Source organism: Homo sapiens, chromosome 1, assembly GCF_000001405.40.
Source record: "Homo sapiens chromosome 1, GRCh38.p14 Primary Assembly".
Classification (NCBI taxonomy): Eukaryota; Metazoa; Chordata; class Mammalia; order Primates; family Hominidae; genus Homo; species Homo sapiens.
The window spans coordinates 30,690,847-30,711,012 of record NC_000001.11 but is presented as its reverse complement, the minus strand read 5'-3'; the positions used below and the strand labels follow the sequence as shown (position 1 = coordinate 30,711,012).

General features: G+C 52.8%; 1 long non-coding RNA gene across 1 annotated transcript, besides 2 other annotated features; it reads left to right on the top strand.

Moving 5' to 3' along the window:
- On the top strand, window positions 834-2,567 carry LOC124903888 (uncharacterized). The gene is made up of 2 exons (XR_007065565.1): window positions 834-916; window positions 2,322-2,567. It is a non-coding gene; the product is annotated as an uncharacterized LOC124903888 (long non-coding RNA).
- Window positions 2,651-3,151: an enhancer, noted in NCBI's record as "H3K4me1 hESC enhancer chr1:31180709-31181209 (GRCh37/hg19 assembly coordinates)". NCBI's record gives its function as "activates a minimal SCP1, AML or CMV promoter by ChIP-STARR-seq in primed H9 embryonic stem cells {active_cell/tissue: H9 hESC(primed)}" and the evidence as "EXISTENCE:reporter gene assay evidence [ECO:0000049][PMID:30033119]".
- Window positions 13,318-13,427: an enhancer, noted in NCBI's record as "active region_614". NCBI's record gives its function as "activates an Ori minimal core promoter by ATAC-STARR-seq in GM12878 lymphoblastoid cells {active_cell/tissue: GM12878}" and the evidence as "EXISTENCE:reporter gene assay evidence [ECO:0000049][PMID:35858748]".

Here is a 20,166-nt window from a genome sequence, read left to right as displayed (position 1 = left end):
TTCCAGATGTGAATGCAATTAATCCAGGAGAAGACAGGAGCTGCTCAGGGACTTCCTGATACCTGAGGCTGGGCCTGCATCCTCTTCAGAGCCGCCTGTGAGGCTGGGGGTTGGGGGGCCCTGCTACTCAACCCTGGTTGGCATCAAGGTATGTTGACAAGGGGAGGGGACCACTCTGCTTATGGGGGCGTCGCAGCCTTGGAGTATTTGGGGTCAGAATCAAGTTTGGGTCACCTATTGAGTTACCATTTTTGGGTGATCCCTATGTGCCGGGTGATATATACACAATTTCCAATTCACACTTCTCAGTGATCCTTTTAATAAACTTATTTCACAGACAGGGACACCAAGGCTGCCAGATGTAAAGTGTCACGTGGACAGGAAGTGGCTGGGCTGAGATTTAAATCCTGAAATCTCTGCCTCCCAAATCAGGGCTCTTTCCAGAACATGGCCTCTCTGAAGTTCAGGCTCACTATGGTGAAAGGGGTTCCTATTCCTTTCTTCAAAGGTTGGGACCATCACTGGTTAACTGGCCTTCCTGCCTTTGGGCTGTTGTTCTTTAGCCCATTCTGCACACTGATACCAGAGTGATGATCCTACTGTGCCCATCTGATCAGTTCACACCTCTGCTCAAGAACTTTCTTTGGCTCCCTACTGCCTCCTGAATAAAATTCAAACGTAGCCTGACACCTTAGGTGCTGTATGGTCTGGCTGCTGCTTACTTCCGTCTCACTTCGCCTCACTGTGATCTCACAGAGGTTGCATTCTAGAAATGTAGAACTATATGAGGTTGCCATCAATACTTCCATTGTGGAGATGGAGAGACAGGCACAGAGAACTAAAGTCACTTGTGCAAGATAGAACTTCCAGGGCTGGAGGTCCTGAAAGGGTGGCACTTTCTAGGCTGCGAAACAGGGTGAGGACGAGGGTAAGGGGTGTAGATATCTCTCCATTTGGGTCTTGCTCACCCATTGGTGCTCCAGGAGTCCCAGGCATTGCCATGGAAGTCAGATTGAGAAGTCTTGGGTGGTTTTTTAATTCTCCAAATGCTTCCTGAGAACCTGCTGTGTGCACAGCACAAGCCAGGTGCTGACGACAGGGAGACAGTGATCAACTAGATACTGTCCTCGATCTCAAGAGGCTTCTGGTCTATTTAACACAACAGATGGGACTGGAACACCTGAACAATGATAGTAATAAAACGACAGCCTTCCTTTATTGATGGCAAATATTGCACAAGGTGCACATTGCTGTTCTTGCTCACTGAGGAGTAACAAGTTCGAAGAGGTCAGACAGATTGTCCAAAACTGCGCAGCAAGAAGCTGCTCAAACAGGATTTGAACCGAGGATTGTTGGGCTTCAGAGGCTGAACCCCGTCTTCTGCAGTGAGCTCCCCTGCTCTGTAATTACGATGGGGGAAGGGCTAGAGGGCAAGGGACAGGGCAAGACACAAACAGGGTAAGATGCTGCAAAGAGTTGGAGATGTCAAGGCCAAATGCAGCTACCAGTAATAAGGGCCAGTGTTTATTGAGCACCTACTATGTGCCCGGCACCACTCTGGGCACTTTTCATAGACTAGACCTTGATTTGATGACTTCTCACTGTGATCCTATGAAGGATTTACTATTTATCATTCCATTTTACAGATGAGGAAACTGAAGCATGGAGGGTTTCAGTAGCATGTCAGTGTGCCCCATCTAGTGAGCGATGGAGCTGGGACTAAATGGATCTCACAGACTCCTGAGTCAGGTGCTGTCAGCCACAGTGCTAACTGAGCTGACCTAGTACAGCCATGCATTGACAAGTGAATATGATGTTAAAAAGGAATAATGGCGTAATTGCATGTGAGAGGGGGGACCAAAAGTAAATCATTCATTGATTTACTCACCCAACAGTGATTTACTGAGCACCTGCTCTGTGTCAGGCACTGGCTCAGGCCCCAGGGCCCCAGCAATGAGCAGACTGTCTGTTTCTGCAATCATGGCCCTACTTTCTCACAGGAGCCTGACTATGAAGGAAGGGGCAAAGGAAGTGTGGGAGCATCGCAGACACAGAAGTGCTGAGGAACATACCGGGAAGCTGTATTTGGCAGGGGGTGGGGGTGGGGGGTGCCCTGGCCTTTGCCCTGGAGGAGCGCAGTGTGAACATGGTCCAGGCCTGTGGTTTCAGACTTGATTCTGAACTTGTGCACGGTGCCAGGTGGGGCCTGGAGTCAGACAGGTGGACATTCCTACACAATCATGATGGCAAAGACCTGCATGCTACTTAACAGTTCACAAGCACGAGGTGAAGCCAGTATGGTTATCAGCCCCATTTTACAGATGACACACAGGCTTGGAGACGGGAAGAGACTCATCTGAGTCATGGCGTAGTGGAGCTGCAATTTGAAGCTGAGCCTGTTGGACTCTGAAGTTCCTGCTGTCCCTGTTCACCCTTTACTGTGCCTCGGCTGATGCTTTCTGAGCCTGTTTGCCCATCTGTGAAATGGACTGCTGACGCGGGGCAAAATCATCTCAGGGACTGCCTTGGACCTTGGAATTATGGATTGAAATTTTTTTAAAAATTTATTTATTCTGTCTTTATTTTGTCTTGTCTATAGTGAAGGTGTACAGCGGGATGTTTTGATACACGTAGTGAAATGATGACCACGGTGGAATTATGTGGTTTGAATGGGGCCGGAATGGCTGGCTTTGAGGCTGCTAGGGAGGAAGCTGGCCACAGGATGGCACCATTGGCCCAGGAATGGGGTGAGCAGGCCTTGCTGGGGGATGGGGCTCGGGCTTCATGGCTGTGAGCTGGGCTGGTCCCTGTCACTGTGGCACCTGTCGCACTTAATCTAATCTCTTTAATCCCCTCCTTCCCAACCTCCTTCCCAAAGGCTCCTGAGTGGGTGGTGACTTCTCTCATGGGAACGGTTGTATCCTCCCCAACTGCAGCTGGCCTTGCTATCCCATGCCTCACTCTGAGATGCCCTGGAGGGGCATGTCCAGAGGATTTGCTGGAGCAGGGGGTGGCAGCTCAGATCTGAGCGTTGGGGTGCAGTGGGGGCCAGGAAGGAGCACCCCAAGGAGGTATCTTCCTGTGCCCTACCCTCCCTCGTTCCTATGGACAAATTGTCCTTTGTCCCCAAATCAGAATATAAGTGCCTTCAAGCCAAAAATAGCTGCAGCCTGGTGGGGGAGGGGGATACTAGAGACACCAAACAGAGGTGTCGAAGGGAGCCCAACACAGGCACCTTGGAGGGACCACGGACTCTGCCATCCAAAGCCCTGGCGTGAATAGGCTCTGTCCCTGGTGTGCCCTATGGCCGTGGTCATGTGACTACAGCTCTGGGGCTCAGTTTGCTCCCCTGGGAGATGGGGAGAATGATTCCCCTTTCACTGGGGGAGACTGTGAACTGAGGGGATGTGTGCAAAGCACAGAGCATGGGCCGGGCGCCCTAGCTGTTGAGACGAAGGTGCACCCTTGTGGCGACAGCAGCGAAGGGTCTGGGCCCAGGCTGGAGGCTCAGATCACAAGTTCACACCAGGGCTTCAAGGAGGAGGCAGCCTCTCCTCCAAATTCCGAGCTGTCTTTCCTCCCTCATGGAAAACCTACACCAGGTCAAAGCGTCTCCCTTCCCTTTGCCCCTCCAGGGTGTGCGGTATCTCACGTGGCTTCTCTCTGTCCTTCCCCTTCCACGTGAGGTGCAAGCACCTGCCCTGTCCCATAAGGGTGATGGAGAGTCTGCTGTAAGGCGGAGTCAGGGGGATGGTCCAGGGAGTGTCTAGAGAGTGATGTGAAGGTGGGTGGTGGGGGGCATGTGCCAGCGCCCAGACCAGGGATGGGAGAGCAGCTGGGGTGGGGTGGGGGCACTAAGGGAGCAGAGGGGCTTATTCAGCACAGGGCATGGGGCCTGATTATCACTGTGTGGCCAGCAAGCCAGGCCATCCATGGGGCTGGGCCGAGCTCCTAGCTCCATGCTGGGTGCCTGATTTTCAGAGACTCTGGGGAGGTTGAAGTTCCCCTCACCGATTCTTCTCGGAAACTGGAGTTCTCTCTGTGTTTCCCCAGTGCAGACTGCTGTCCTGAGGAGGCTTTCAAATGCAGAGTCCCAGGCACCCTGATTTAAGGAGTCTCCAGGGAACTGTGCCCAGACCGGGGTGTGACATGTGGCTCCAAACTCAGGCCCTGAGTGACCTCGGGAAGTCCCTGACCCTCTCTGAGCTCTGTTCCACTGATGACACCGCTGGCTGTGTCAGGCACTCAGAAGGCGTTTTGTCCACGTGGACTGAGCTGACACTCCAGCACCCGCTGTGGGAACTCTGCCAGCCAGTGTTCGCTGAGTCGCACTCAGCCTCTCCTCAGATTGAGGCAGCTTTGCTCCCTGGAGGCTTGATAAAGATACATAGTGAGTGAATGAGGGAAAGCATGAACTTGCTCTCCTTGCTTCCCACAGCCCTTCCGTGGTAGTAATAGTAAATAATTTATAAGTGGTGACTTACAGTGTAGTATCTACACAGTAGATACTACTCAAGTATATATACTTATGTATAATACTTGTATATTATAGAATAAATAAATTGGCAGGAGAATCACTTGAACCTGGGAGGTAGAGTTTGCAGTGAGCCAAGATCACGCCAGTGCACTCCAGCCTGGGTGACAGAGAGAGACTCCATCTCAAAAAAAAAAAAAAAAGATGTGTTATTTTATAATAGTGTACTTGTGGCATGTATTATATTTCCTAACTAGTAATTAGTAAATATAAATTTATAAACAGCCAACATATATTGGTGCTTATGATGAGCCAAGCATTGTTCCAAGAAAAGGCTAACTTCCTTTATTCCTCACACTTCTTTTGGGAGGTAAGACTGTAACTGAAACACCTGCAGGCTAGGTCCTGCCGCTCACTGCACAGAAAGTCAATCACTGAGACAACAAGTACTGTTGGGGAAGAAGGCTTTAATTGGGTTCTGTAGCCAAGGAGATGGGAGATGGGAGATTAGTCTCAAATCTGTCTCCGACCAACTAAAATCGGGGGTTTCAATAGCAGGGAAGAAATGTACCTACATCCAGGAGAATAAGAATTAGGGAGGCGTAAGGAAGAAAAACTGGTCAACAGGAAGCAGGTGGTCAGTGAGGCCATCATGATGGGTGAGGAGTCTGGCATCTCATTGTCCTGATGCAGTGATCCATGCATTTCAGCTCCTTGATACTATCTGGGGCTCTGATGGTTGGTTTGCTGAGAATGGAACTTAGATAAGACAATTGTAACATTCTCAAGTTTTAAGACTGGGAGGGTCAATTCTATGTCTATTCAAAAGAAACCAAAAACGTCAGTTCTAACAGACAATTGGTCTGGTTTCAGGACTACCCCAGGTTCACAGTGGGGGAAAGCAAGGCTAAGAAGACAGAGGAACCTGCAGCAGCAGGTCGGCCTTGGCACTGGGACCCAGGCTTGTCCACCCCACATGGCCCCTGGGTCTTCCTTCCTCCATGGGGAAATCCCTTTGTTGCCCCAGGTGCTCTTTGGGGCACCTCTGGTTCATGGGTTGGGGTCTTGCTCCTGCGGGCTTCATCTGTGAACCTGCTGCAGTGTGGCCAAGTCCCAGCTGCAGAACAGGCTGGAACAGACCCCTTGCCCAGCCCGGCAGCCTCCACTCCCGCCTGGAGGCCTGTCTGCCTGCCATCTTCCTCCTCCCACGGCTGGTGCAGCTTCTGCTTGGGCAGGTCGCCACAGTTCGAGAAGGATTTTCCCCTCTTCTTGGCATCAGATTTTCCCTTGCAGTCTCCTGACTTCGTTCCTGGCAGAATTCCTTCTCCTGAGTACTGCAAGTGTCTTTCAGCCACTCTCCTGTGAGTGGTGCAAAGCAAGAATTCTGTCCCATGCCTGGGGCTTTTTCCAGGAGTTAGGAGTATTGGGGAGTGCATGTGATGAGCACCCCAACGTGCATCCCATTCTCAGGGGCCCTTGGGTCCATCACAGCCCTCCGTCCCCCCGCAATGGGCCTTCCCTCACAGGGCTCATGGTCAACGGAGCCCCCTCCAGCTGCCACAGAGTTTCCTTTGCCCAGGCCCAGCCTGGGAGCAGCAGGCTTGGGTGGGGCCTTTCCAGGCATCGGTGGATGCCCCATGGTGTCCAGGGGGCAGGAGAAGCAGGTCCTGAGCTGCAGGTGAAGGTTTGGGGTCATTGGCAAATATGTAGATGACTGAAGCTGCAGTGAGCGATGAGCCCCCGGGGGGAGGAGTTGAGAGGAAGGTCAGGGGAGAGGGCCTGGAACAGAGCCCCAGGACCCCTACACTTCAGGGACAGCCAGAGGGACCAGCAAGGGAGCCCGAGGAGTGGCCAGGGGAATAAGAAGAAAATGAGGATGGGGTCCCAGGGACCAAGAGGAGAGAGGAGGAGGAGATGCCCTCCATCCCCCCAGCAATGGATCTTCCCTCACAGGGCCTATGGTCAGCTGAGCCACCTCCAGCTGCCAGAGTTTCCTTTGCCCAGGCCCAGCCTGGGAGCAGCAGGCGTGGGTGGGGCCTTTCCAGGAGGGAGAAGAACCGGCCCTGTCCTGGGCTGGCCTGGGTTGGGCTGGGCTGGGCTGGGAGAGGACAGGCCACGTCCACTTGGGATGCTGCCTCCTCCCCGGTCCTGCTGCCTCTCCAACAGCAGTCAGAGCCACCCAGGGAGTGGGGTGTACTCACTGGGATATGAGGTGACCATGGGTTGTGGGTGCACAAACATTTGATATTTCATAGTTTCCCAGTCATGTATGTATTTTAATAGTATCAGGAAAAAACCCATAAGAAATTAGCGCATTGAAGCCTTGATTTCATGGATTTTGTTGCTCAGGGTGAGACAAATGGAAAACGGCCTATTTCAAGTCAGATTAAAGGGATGATTGAGTCAACATTGTGCAGGGGGAGGGGACAGCAAAAAGCATGAACGTGTCAGAGAAGCTGCTCAAGTGTGAGGGACGTGGAGGAGGCCTCTGAGGCCCAGAGTCAGACACCCAGGGCCAGCCTGGCTCTGCCTGGGGCTGAGGGGCCTTGGGCAGGTCGCTGCATCTCTGTGAGCCTCAGTTTCCTCATCTGTGATATGGGGTGAGCAGTAACAGCTCACAGGGTTGTGGCGACGGTTGATGAGATGAGGAGGGTGGCGTGCTGGCAGGAGCTTGGCACAGGGTCAGCCCAGCCAGGGAAGCAGAGGTTGGTGTTATCATTATGATTATTATCGGCTTTGGCACCACTGTTATTCAGGGACTTTATTCTGGGTGAGGTGACTGATGGCTTTTAGAGGGGAAGGGGCCAAGTTCTTGCCACCCCAATCCTCAACAGAGCTCCATGAGGGCCATCCCCACTAGGGAACTCCTCCTCGAACTTCATAGCCCCGGGCCAGGCAGGCTTTGGTGTGTCACCCAGTGGTGACACAGCTTCTTGGAGCCACCATGTCCTTGATTGTAGGTTGACACCACAAGGCTGACTTCATGGGGGTGACTGTGAGGAACACCAAAGAGAGGCAGGTCAAGTCCCTGGAATGTAGTAGGGCTTTATCCTCTGAGATTTTGTCCTCCATGGGGGAAATTTCTGTTGGTCCGGTGGGGACAGGTTTGGTGTAATCTCGGGGGGTCTGACCCCGCTCTGATTGTCAGATATGTAGTCTGAAATTAAGCCAAAATTTCATCTTACCTATGCTAATCATCATTACTTATGAGGTTCTTAGATACCCTGAAGCTGTCCAACATGTCCACTCACAACATGGGAGCTTAGTAGCACTGAAATGTGAATTTAAATCAACAAATATTAACAGAACATTTGGTAAGTCACATTCATCCACCCACCCATCCATATCCATTTATCATCCATTATCCTTCCATCAATTCATCCATCCATCATCCATCATCTATCCATCTATCCATCATTCATCATCCACCCATCTATCCACCATCCATCATCCACCATCAGTTCATCCATCCATCTATTCATCATCCATCCATCCATTTATTAATCATCTATCCATCCATCCACTATCCATCTATCTATCTTCCATCCATCTATACATCATCCATCATCCATCCATCCATCCATCCATCCATCCATCTATCCATCCATCCATCCACCCATTTATCCATCCATCCATCCATCCATCCATCCATCCATCCATCCATCCATCCATCCATGCATCCACTAAATGGCAGCTGAACATCTACTATGTGCTGCTATGATGGAGCTGGACAAGAGACCCAGTTTTTGCCAGCATGGTGCTTTAGCTGAGCAGAGAAACTGGTGTTTAGCACATGTCATCGTGAGGTGTAAGGATGGCTGTGGAGGGGAGCACAGGCTGCTGTGGGAGCCTCTGGCAAAAATCAGGGAAACCTACCTGGAGGAAGGGGCATCTGAGCCAGAACCTGCAAGACCAGGAGGACTTCATGGGTGAAGGGAACTCTTCCTGGTCTTGCCGGTACTGGCTAAGATGCCCCAAGTGAAGGGGGTGTCAGGGGGCTGTCTAAGTGGAGGCTTAGTCTTATCTGGGAAGTGCCAATGGGTGGTGAGATGGGCCTGAAGATAATACGGCTGCTTGGATTAGGGTAGAGTCGGGGTGGAGTGGGGAGTTGACATCCTAAGTGTGACAGTTGCATGTAGGGTATGAGTGGGGAGGCATATGAGCAGATTTGGGTCTGAAAGTCCCTCTGACCACCATGTAGGTGAGGATAGGACTGAGACAGGGGAAGGAGTCAGTCAGGACATAGAGGCTGCAATGCAGGCTGGAGGACATGGGGCTCTGACTAGGATAGTGACTGCGGGGCTGGGAGAAATGGGCAGTTTGGAGATATTTGGGGGTTTCAGTCTTAGCCTCAGTGATGAGTGATGGGAAAGTGGAGGGGGGCTCCCAGGTTTCTGACTTGGGCTGCCTGGGGGACCCTCACTTCCTCATATAGAGAAGCAGGTTTGGGGTTGGGTGAGATGCTAGATGTGGCTGCATCAGTGCATGCCCCGTGGGTGTCCAGGGGGCAGGAGAAGCAGGTCCTGAGCTGCAGGTGAAGGTTTGGGGTCATTGGCAAATATGTAGATGACTGAAGTTGCAGGGAGTGATGAGCCCCCAGGAGAAGAAGTTGAGAGGAGGGTCAGGGGAGAGGGCCTGGAACAGAGCCCCAGGACCCCTACACTTCAGGAACAGCAAGAGGGACCAGCAAGGGAGCCCGAGGAGTGGCCGGGGGATAAGAGGAAAATGAGGACGGGGTCCCAGGGACCAAGAGGAGAGAGGAGGAGGAGAAGCAGGCACAGGCTGAGTGTTGCCCAGGGGCTAAGCATGGGCCGAGGGTGCCCACTGCCTGGTCCTTCCAGCAGGTAAATGTGGCCTTACAAGGGCAGCATCTTGGGGACAGCATGGGGACTGAGGTGGGCAGAGTGTGTGTGGAGATCAACCAGGAAGGATGGCTGGTTCAGGAAGTTGGGCAGTGAAGGGAAAGTGAGAGAGTGAGAGGGTGACAGCTCAGGGGAGACATCAGGTTCAGGTTTGTTGTGGGATGACAGACTTGAATATGATTCAGTGCTGAAGAGATGGGGCATAGAGACAGGGATGAGTATAGACAGGTAAAGAGATTAAACATGTCCCCACCACCCTGGAGAGATCCAGGCAGTGGGTAGGCGGGGCCGGTCAGAGCAGGCTGGGATCCCAGACAGCAGGAGGGGACAGTCTCCATCTTCAGGAGGAGGAAGGGGAGGGCCTTGTGAGTGCCAGGAGTTTGGATATTTGTTGTCAGGAAATCTAGTAAGTTCTTATTTTGAGGCTTGGATTTTCTCTGGGCACCAGGAAGCCATGTCACCAGCTAAGAGAGACAGGAGATGGGGAGGGAAACCTAGGGAGGAGGAGAGAGGCTGAATCATCTCCTTGGGGACCGGCCAAGTGGGAGGCAGAGCACGTGTCCTGGTGATGAGGCTGATGGCAGCCCAGGAGTGACTCCAGGAATCCCTTGGGCCATTGTGGGGGATGTGCAGTGTGCACTTTTGTGTTGGGTCATGGGCTGAGCTCCAGCTGGACTGACCCTAGGCCATCGCCCAGCCAGGCTCCCACCTGATGCTTGAGTCTGAGCTATTGAACTCTGTGAGTGTCCCTGTAGGTGCAAGTGGAGGGGTGCCAGGAAACCTGCCCTGAGAAGACCGCCCTAAAGTGCTGGGCCTAGGAGGTACACCGGCTTCCCAGCTGGCCCCCTCGCTCCTGTTTCCCCTGAAACTCTTCCTGCTCACTGCTGCCAGAGAGTGCTTTCAAATATGTGAATTCTATCCTGTCATGCCCCAGCTCAAGAACTGTCTGTGGCTCCTAATTTTCTGTTGGATCAAGTTTAACCTCTTTGGCCTGGAACTCAAGGCTTCCCAGCCTGACCCTGCTTCCTTTCAGGCTGTGTCCTCTCCCTGCTGTCTCCACCCCCTGCCTGCTACCTACATGCTGCGCCTGGGTCCAGCTGTGCTGAGCTGCCTGCCCTTCCTCAGATCAGCCAGGTTCTTCTGCACCTCTGTTCCTTTATACATGCTGTGCCTGGAATGCCCTTCCTGCTCTGTTGAGGCTGGAGATGAACTTAGCCACTCTCTCTTGCAGCCCTTCCTGACTTCCTCTTCAGGTTGGTGCCCTCCCTGTGTTTCCCCTAGGACTCCACCAGAAGGGCAGAAGAGTGGGTGACGGATGGAGGGACCACCAAGTTCCTCAGATCTCTGTTCAGGCCTGAACCCCTGTTGATGCACTCACTAGGCTGAAAGGGCCTTTGGATGTCAGCGGCAGTGTCTTGTTGGTCCTGGTGTCCCCCTCCAGGGCTGAGTAGTTCTAGGTTAGCGCTGAAGAAATCAACAAGAGGATGGATGCATGGATAAATAAAGGAATGGATGGATGGATGGATAGATATGTGCATGGAGGGATGGATGGATAGGTGGATGGAGGGATGGATGGATAGGTGGTGGAGGGATGGATGGATAGGAGGATGGATGGATGGATAGATGGATGGATGTATATGTGGATGAAGGGATGGATGGATAGATGGATGGATGGATGGATGGATGGATGGATGAAGGGATGGATAGAGGAATGGATGGATAGATGGAGGGATGGATGGATAGATAGAAGGATGGATGGATATGTGGATGGAGGGACGGATGGATAGGTGGATGGAGGGATGGATGGATAGATGGATGGATGGATCAATGAAGGGATGGATAGAGGGATGGATGGAAGGATAAATGGATAGATGGATGGATGGATGAAGGGATAGATGGAGGGATGGATAGAGGGATGGAAGGATGGATGGCTGGATGCACAAAACAGCCAGGAGTCAGGAGTCAGGAAATCCCCAGGTGAGGAAAGGGTCACAGCAGAGAGCTCAGAGCCCAGCACAGCCTCGATTCTACCTCAGCTCACGTTTGTTGCTGGCCCACTGTATGCCATCACACAGGTCTCATTTTAACCCTCACACCACCCCACAGATGGGGTCATCCCTCCCATTGTACAGATAAGAAATTGAGGCTGAGAGATGCCCAAGGCCATGCATCTAGGAAGTGCAACACCATGTTTTAAGCCTCAGTTTCTCCACTTTCAGTCCAGAGTTCTTCCTGCAATGTATGCCCATGGCCCTGAGCCCTGTACTCTGTGCCGGATGGAGCCTGTAATGGTTGGTTATTTCATGTCTTTGTTGATTGAGGCACAAGGAAAGTCATGTGCTTTGGAGTTGGATAGGCCTGGGTGGGAATCCTGGCTTTACCACTGAACAGCTAGAGACGTGGGCATGCCATGTCACCTCAGGCACTCAGTTTTCTCATCTGAAAAATGGGGACATTAACAGAAGTTCCTAGGACTGTTGTGAGGATTACATAAGACAGAGTGTGTGGAGTGCCCATTATAAGATCTGGTGGGGAGTGGGGGCTCAAAACCCAACCTCCCTTCCTCTCTCCCTCCTCTCCTCCTTCTCTTCCAGGACACCCCTCCCTCAGGCCCTCAAGGCCCTAGTTTCTTTCTCTGAGTCCCCCTGGGGCCCTGCAGGCTCTGGGGTCTGAGATGCCCCCTCGGCTGTGTCGAGAGCTGCCTGTGTCACTGCATCTGTGCGGTTACTATAGCATCTACCTTGGCTCAGGGCAGGGAAGTGGAAAACAGGCCAGAGCGTGATGAGGCTGCATGTTCTCATCTGTCCCCTGAGACCCTGGCCGCACAAGGCATCTCTCCACACTGAGGCCATGGGCTGCTCTCTGGGCCTTGAGCCGAAGTCCTGTCCCGCCTTGGGCCAGGGTGGGTGAGGGGCTTCCCTCCTTTCAAGTCTGGCCAGCGACAGCCGGGGAAGCGACTTGGAGAGACGTCTGGCTGGCCAGGCCCCGGGGCCGTAGGTAGCGGATTGATAGGTGCCCTCTGCCTGGTCCCGAGAGACTCCCCCTCTCCTCCCACACCTAGGCCTCTGCACCTAGGGCTGTGGAGGAGTTAATCTGCCAGTCACCCCCGTTCCTGTCCTCCAGGCTGGGAAGCGCAGCCCAGGAGTTGCCTCCACTCTCCTGGCAGGCTTGCTGGGCTGGGTGGGTGAGTGGGGCTGAGTGTGTTATGGTGGGGGGCGCTGCTGGGTATAGGAGGAGGGTGTGCTTGTACTCGAGGGGTAGGCCCCTGGGACCCCTGGCTGCCTCTTTCCCCGGGCCAAGTGAGCCCCTGGTGGCTGTGAACCAGCTGTCTCTGGGCTCAGTTGTGGCCTGGAAGGTCTGTTTGTGGCTCAGGCCTCAGGAGGTCCCTTCTTCAATCCTCCCATAGTGAGTCATACTGTTGCTGGCTCAGTCCCACCTGGTTTCCTGAAGGTGTCACTCAATGCCTGGATCTGGCAGTGAAACCCAGCTCTCTGAGAAGAGCCCCTGTCCCGAACAGCTCCCACCAGACTGCCAGAGACTCCAGCTTGGGGCTGGTTGTGGCTTCTTCTTAAGTAGCACTACACTGGAGATAGTAGGAGCTCTGGGCTAGTCCTGGCTATTTAGCAATGAACAAGATAGCTGAGGTCCCTGAGGCACGACAGACATTAAACAGGCAGTGGGTGGGAGCAGAGGCCCTTTGAGTCCAGGGAGAGCCAGTGCACAGACCTGTCAGACCCATAAGCCCACAGACTGGAAAGTCTGGAACTATCCGAGCTGAGAGCTGGATCTGTACAGCCTGTTGAAGCCTCTGCCCCACCTTCCCCGGTCAGAGCCTCCCTTGACAGCTCACAGGGGCTCAGGCCAGGCTAGATGGGGACTGTTTCAGGGGAGGTCCCTGAGTCACCGAGATGGGAGTCCCCACGGCCAAATTTGCCTGGCTCTGGGCTCTGGTTTCCTCTCGGTGGCAGGTGGCCCTGGGACCCCAGCCTGCTTGCTCAGGAGCTGCTGAGGTTAGGGTGGGGGTTGGGGAGGAGGCTGTCTTGAGATGACCTGGGGAACTCGGTGCAGATCCGGCCTCCTCCAGAATTCCAGCCCCTCCCTGCCTATTCTCCCATTTCTCTCCTGTCCGAAATCAAATCCCTTTTTAGAGAAACCTGAGATGACTCTGGCAGGACAGCTGCTGCTCAGAGCCCACTGAGAATACAACCAATTAAATGGGGAAATACGGGAGAAGACCTCCACAGCAGGGAAGCATGAGTCCATCAGAAGAATAAACAGACACGAAATGACAGGGGGCTACTGCTTCTCGCTCCCTAAGCTGTTTATCCTGAATGAAAAACACTAGAAAAATTCCACTTTGCAAAGGCTGCGCCCCTACCATGCTCATAATGAATACCAGAGGAAAAACCCTGAAGTGTGTTCAGCTGAGACCACATCTACCTAGAGTTTTTTCTAACAAGCTTTGTTACCTGGGGCTTCAAGACCCATTTAACCCACTCGACATGTGGAGTCGGATGCAGGAGTCTCTGGAATGACGTTACCATCACAGGTGACAACCCCATTGAGAAGATCCCAGTGGCAGCAGCGATGCGGCCCTTACTCACCACCCTGGGTTTGGGGCCCCGGGAGGATGGAGGAGAGAAGCCAAGAGGTATCCTAGCCCTCTTTCTCCAGGATGGGGGAGGGCTTTGGGGAGGGTGTGTGGGAGAATCCAAAAAGCAGTTTGTAGAGTAGTGTCAAGGACCAAGGCCTTCCCAGAGGGCCCATCTTTGCTGGCAGGTGGACCAGGCTCAGGTGGAGGTGAGGACTTCTTGGATGTTTCCTTGAACCCTGAGGGCTCTGAGTCCTTGCTGGGAGAGACCAGAGTGTGTGGAGTGCCCATTATAAGATCTGGTGGGGAGTGGGGGCTCAAAACCCAACCTCCCTTCCTCTCTCCCTCCTCTCCTCCTTCTCTTCCAGGACACCCCTCCCTCAGGCCCTCAAGGCCCTAGTTTCTTTCTCTGATCCAGGTGAGGAAGAGAGGGGAGAATAGAATCAAGAACTTCCAGGGATCCCACTCTTAATGCTGAAGTTCCTGGAGATAAACAGTCAAATAATCACCTTCTAAAGATACTGGATCTTCCAACCTTCACTTCTGTCAGAGTTGGGGCATTTTCAGATACGTCAGTACCATTCATAGCATCTGAGCTGCACAGAATCTTGGAATTAGAACATCTTTCGTACACTCAGAGATGCTTTTTTGTATAATGTTTGAATTGCCAGGTCTAAGCATCTTGTCTTTATACAGAATCCTGGAATTACAGGATCACAGATGCCTTCATGGACTCACAGGCCCACGGAATCTTAGAATTTAGGAATCTCTACAAGAGTCTTTGAACATGGAATCATTCAGAGAAACTTAGAGTTGAAATAGAAATCTCGGAATCACAAGATAACCTTAGTCCAACTCCCTCCTGTAATGTGGGAAGCTCTCTCTTCACTGTTTTGTAATAACTTAAACACTTCTAGGGACGGGGTGCTCATTACCTGTCAGGGCAACTTGTCTCACTTTTGAGCAGATGTAGCTGTGAATGCTGAGCCTAAATCTGTCCTCCTGTGAATTCCCACCCTCTCTTGCTGGCCTCACCCCTTGCCATCCCCCATTCACCTTAAAGAGCCAAGTGTATAACAAGTAATGTTGATACCAAGGCAAGATTAAACTCTTGCTCTGGCCAAAACAATAACTTTTGAGGGCTAAGGGGCTATGGAAGGTGTGTGCCATGACATCCTCTGACAATGACATTTATTCCCTCCTTTTGGTGCCCTGCCTAGAGCAAGCCATCTGCAGCCCGCCCAGCCTGCATGGTACCCCTCCAGCCCCTACAGATGCAGAAGGTTGAGCAAGCTAGAAACCACTGGAAAAATCATCGGAAAAAGCAAGATCTGCTTCCAGCAAAATCCCAGCCAACAACAAGATGGAATGATTTGATGATGAAACTGAGCACCATTCGGACTGTACGAGCTGGATTTTATTAGTTTGTTTTGAATGTCCTCTGGGGGTGGGTGGGGGTGGGGTGGGTAGGCTCAGTCTTGTGTGAGCCTTGGCCCTGGCACCAGCCCACGGCAGAGCTGGAAGTGTGGGACCTGGGGCCAGACTGCCTGGTTGGAATCTCAGCTAGATCTCATACTAGCCATGTGACCTCGGGCAAGTTCCTAATTTCTCTGTGCCCGTTTCCTCTCTGATAAAGCAATGTGATGGGCATATATCTGGTATGATCTAGCCTTGTTCACTTAGGCAGACTTGTTTCCTTCCATCCAGTAGTTCGCACTGTCATTTGTTCAGTGCATTTGTTCATTCTTGCTCTTACCCATTCACACCATTCGTTACTACATTCATTCAGGCATCAGTTCATTTGTTCCTGCATTTGTCAATGCATTAATTCACACACACATCTGGGCATGATCAACCCCACTGTTCAGCCTTTTTCCAGCCTGTGGGCAGACAGACCAGGCCCCAGAAAGGGCTCTGAACATGGCTGGTAGAAAACATGTGATTCCTCCCATGTCACTTAAAGGTACTGGAATTGTAGGATCTAGGGCATTATAGCATTTGGGTCTCATGGTCCAGGAGCCCCAGATCTCTGCCCCACCACCCCCTCCTCCCAGGTCTCTCAGGGACTGGGCACTAATGGGTGGACCCCGGAGGTGACCGGAGCTGCTCATCAGAGGGAAGCCTGCCACCACTCAGTCGTGTCTGTGTGACCTGGGCTATATCACCTTCCCTCACTCTGCCTGGGGTGTCCTTTCACCCCGGGCTTGGGGTAGGACTTATCTGAGCATCCAGGTGGCTCTGGGTAGGAGAAGGCTCTGCCTTGGCTGCATTTGCAGAGAGCAGAGGCCCTGGTTTTATAGAGGGGTATTATGGTGTAAGAACACAAAATAGCAGAGACTCTTTATTCCAGAAAATTAAGTCATCCTTTTTCCTTGAGCATCTCACTTCTGACCAAGAAAGGCTGGTGGTAGAGACTGGGCCCGGTTCAGGGCTGGCTCTGTTGACCCAAGAGGCAATGACACAGATCTTGTCCAAAATCCATTCTGTGTGTTACAGTGATCTGAGGGCATCCTGCAGCTAAGTGCCCACTGGTCGGCTGCAATAATTAATTGATTTTATTGCCTATACTTGAGGCCTCTGGAGCCTTGGCATGTAAATACATGCAAATGAGCAGAGGAGCGGGTTGAATCCAAAGCCTGGGGGAGTATCTGCCTGGATTGGGCTAATTTCTCTGCTCACCTTTCCTGCTGTAATCCTACTGTGTTCTCAGGGAGCAGGAGAGTGGGGGACAAGGAGAAGGGGCCTTAGAGCCAGAGACACCTGGGTTCAAAGCCCAGCCCACCCCTTCCTGCTGTGTGTGGTCGTGGGCGAGTCCCTGCACCTCTCACTCTACCTGTCTCCATCATTGCGGGGCGGGGGTGGGTGGGGGGTGGGTAATGATCCTCCTGCCCTGCAGGGCTCTCATGGGCCTGAGGAAGCAGCACTCAGGAAACATGCCTCACACCCTTGCTGTAAGAAGCAGTGCAGCTTAGAGCTCCTAAATTATGTATTTCTGAGGTGGCGGGGAGGAGAGTGCAGTCATCTGGGCTTCGCAGCCCTGGCAGAGCAAGTGCTCCTTGAAAGGAGGTGTTGTGATTTCCCCTAATGAATGATGGCAATTGCTCCTTAATCCAGCCCTCGCCTCCTTTCCCATCCAGTACGGTACGTTTTATGTGTGACCTTTGCTGAAACACAACAATCTCTCTTCACATATTGGGGGAATTACAAGAAAGCTTGGAATTTAAACATCCTGAAAGATTTATTCTATGTAGTGGGTGGAATAACCCTCACAAAAAACATACAAATTATGTTAGGAGAAGTAGGTCTGAGGTGGGCTCCAGGCCTGGCTGGAGCCTCTGATGAGTGGGGCTGGGGACTGGAGGCTGCTCTGATCAAGGGTTCATGCAGAAGCTTCTTTGATTCTTGGTTCTGTCTGCATTGTATGCAAGTTATAGCATTTGATGGGCTTTGTCAGGACTGGTGGGTGCTGAGGTTTACTGAGCACCTACTGTGCGCCAGGGCTGCCCCATCAACCCATGTGCTGTCCCCTGACATGGACATGGCCACTCCCACTGTCCCGGAGGGGAGTCTGAGTTCCTGAGGATGACTGACTTGTCCCAGGCCACTCAGCTCGTTAAGTGGCAGGAGGGGAATTTGAACCCAGGTCTGGTTGACCCCAAAGTCCCTGCTTTTCCCCTGACCCCATACAGGAGGGACAAGGGGACTTGTACATCAGGGGGAGCTGAGACTGCAGACATTGGTGGTAGGACTTGCCACTGATCCAAGCCTGGGCTAGGTCCACAGTTAGTTCAGCTCAACGTTGGGTCTTTTCCTGTGAAGCACAGGCTGCTCACTTGGAGGTGGGTCCCATGAGGGCTGTTCCTGGGCCCCGGGAATGCACATCTCACTGGAGGAGCCAACATTCCAAGCAGACAGTGGGGAGAGAGATATGATGGCATTCTGGGGAAGCCCAAGTCACCCCTGAAGAGGCAGGCTGTGGAGACGACACTGAACTCACAAACGGGCTAGGAAGGGCACCTGGGCAGGGGGCTGGGAGGAGCGGAGGCCGGGGTGGGAGTCGACTGGCAGATGCATTCATTGAGCAAACCTCCATTGATACCACCAAGGAAACTTGTTGTTCTCTCCACTGCATCCTGTTCTCCCCCACCTTTTTTCTCTTTCTCCCCACTTCCTCCTCCTTGTCTCCTCCTCTTCCTCTTCCTTACTCTTCTCTTCTTCCTCCTTCTTTTCTCCTCCTCTTCTTTCTCTTTCTCCTTCCTCTCTTCTCTTCCTCTTTTTCTTCCTCCTCTCTTCTTCCTCCTCCCCTCTTCCTCCTTGCTTCCTCTTCCTCCTCTCCCTCCTCCTCCCTCTCTTCTTCTCTTCTTCCTCTTCCTCCTCTCCCTTCCACATCCTCCTCCCATTCTCCTCCTCCAGGTAGAATTAACCCCTGCTATCTTCCAGGTCCCAGTGTAGGCAGCACCTCCTTGGGGAGCTCCCTGATCCCCCAGGATGGGCTAGGGGACCCTGTAGCTCCCACACCCTCTGTGTCTCCCTCATCAGATCCCACGGTGCTGCCATCATCTGTTCCTCACTGGACTGGGGGCCTGGAGGGCAGTGATGGCTTCTCTGTCCCCGTGGTGACTGAATAGCTCTGCCCTCCCTGGCTGCGGGGGCTGGACCAGTTTCCTCACCACTCAGACCTCAGTGTCCTCCTGTCAGAGGGGTGGTAGTCCACATCCCCCAGGCTTGTGCGAGGGCTCAGGCACAATGATGGCGCTGGCAAGGTGTGAGCTCCGCTAGTCTCAGCCTCCCCTCCTCCCTCTGGGCTTCCTTCCTCCTATCCGTCCTCATCTCCACCTCTGAGGGGCCTGGGCTCCATTCTCCTGCAGGACACCCCACCTCCCAACCTTCAGAGGAGAGATAATGAAAACCTCCTCCAGCACCATGTCCTAAAGTTCCCGCTTAATTACTGGTGCGGTGCGCTGAGCAGCTACGGCTGCGCCTTTCCAGCTCTGGCGCCACATGGAGTGCGAGACACCTGGCTCCTCCCTGACGCACTTCTTTCTGTTTCTGCCCTTCAGGCTTTGTGTCTGTCTGAATCTGCGTCTGTTTCTCTGTGTTTTATATTTGGAACTCAGGAGCGAATGACGATACTTTATAGAGATGAATGGAGGTGGGAACAGAGATGTCCTGGGGGCAGGACCCCAGTTGGGGGTCACACAGCTAATGACAGAGACAGAATTCAAACCCATTAATTAACACACTAATTCATGTAATGAATGTTTATCAAAGTGCAGTTCTGTGCCACAGCTTGGAAGGCCTGAATTTAATAAAATCCAACATTATCTAAGGGTGTCGTGTGAACTGACTTGGCACCTGTGCATGGGGGCATTGCCTGGCCTGTTGCCCAGGCTGGAGAGCAGTGGCACAATCCTAGCTCCCTGCAGCCTCGACCTCCTGGGCTCGAGTGACCCTCCTGCGTCAGCCTGTGTTGACTTGGTAAGTGTGGGTTTCCTTTCATTCTCATAGCAGTGTGGGGAAGAAGATACTGTTATCCTCACATTACTCAGGAGGACACTGTAGCTCCCAGAGGTGAAGGAATGTGAATTGAAGGCGTCCAGCTAGGAAAGCATGGAGGTGGGGTCCAGCCTGAGCCCCTGGACTCCGTGTCCAGTGCTCTTCCCACAGATGGGTTCAGCTGTTAGGAATGAGGTGAATCATATGTGTGGGGGTGGGGTCTTCGGATAAAAAGGCCCCAAGGCTGGGATTAGAGGAGGGGGAGGGGAGGGGCCACGTCTCTCTTCTTCCCTCTCTCACCTCACTCCTATCATCTGTCACTGAGGCCTGAGACTGTCTCAGAAACATTCCCTGAATCATTTCAGGTTGAACATGGGCCCTACTGCTTTGTAGGGGGACTTTGGACATATCCTCAACCTCACTAAGCCCCTGATTCATCACTGGAGATGCCCAAACTTAGCATTTTCAGTGGCTGGCACACTCTGATGAGGAGCAGAGGTGAGATGCTCAGCATAGGGCTGGGCGCATAGTGGGTGTCCAGTGACCACTAATGAATGAACCGATTTTCTTGCCTCCTCCTTGTGTCTGGGTCACCAAGTCCCATTCATTCCACCTCCTGCCTCCTAATGGAATCTGTCTCTTTTGCTCCAACCCAGGTGTTCATTGGGACCAGGCCACCATCCTCTCCATTAATGACTGAGGCAGTTTCTCACTTGGCCTGCCTGCCTGTAAAGGCAAATCCA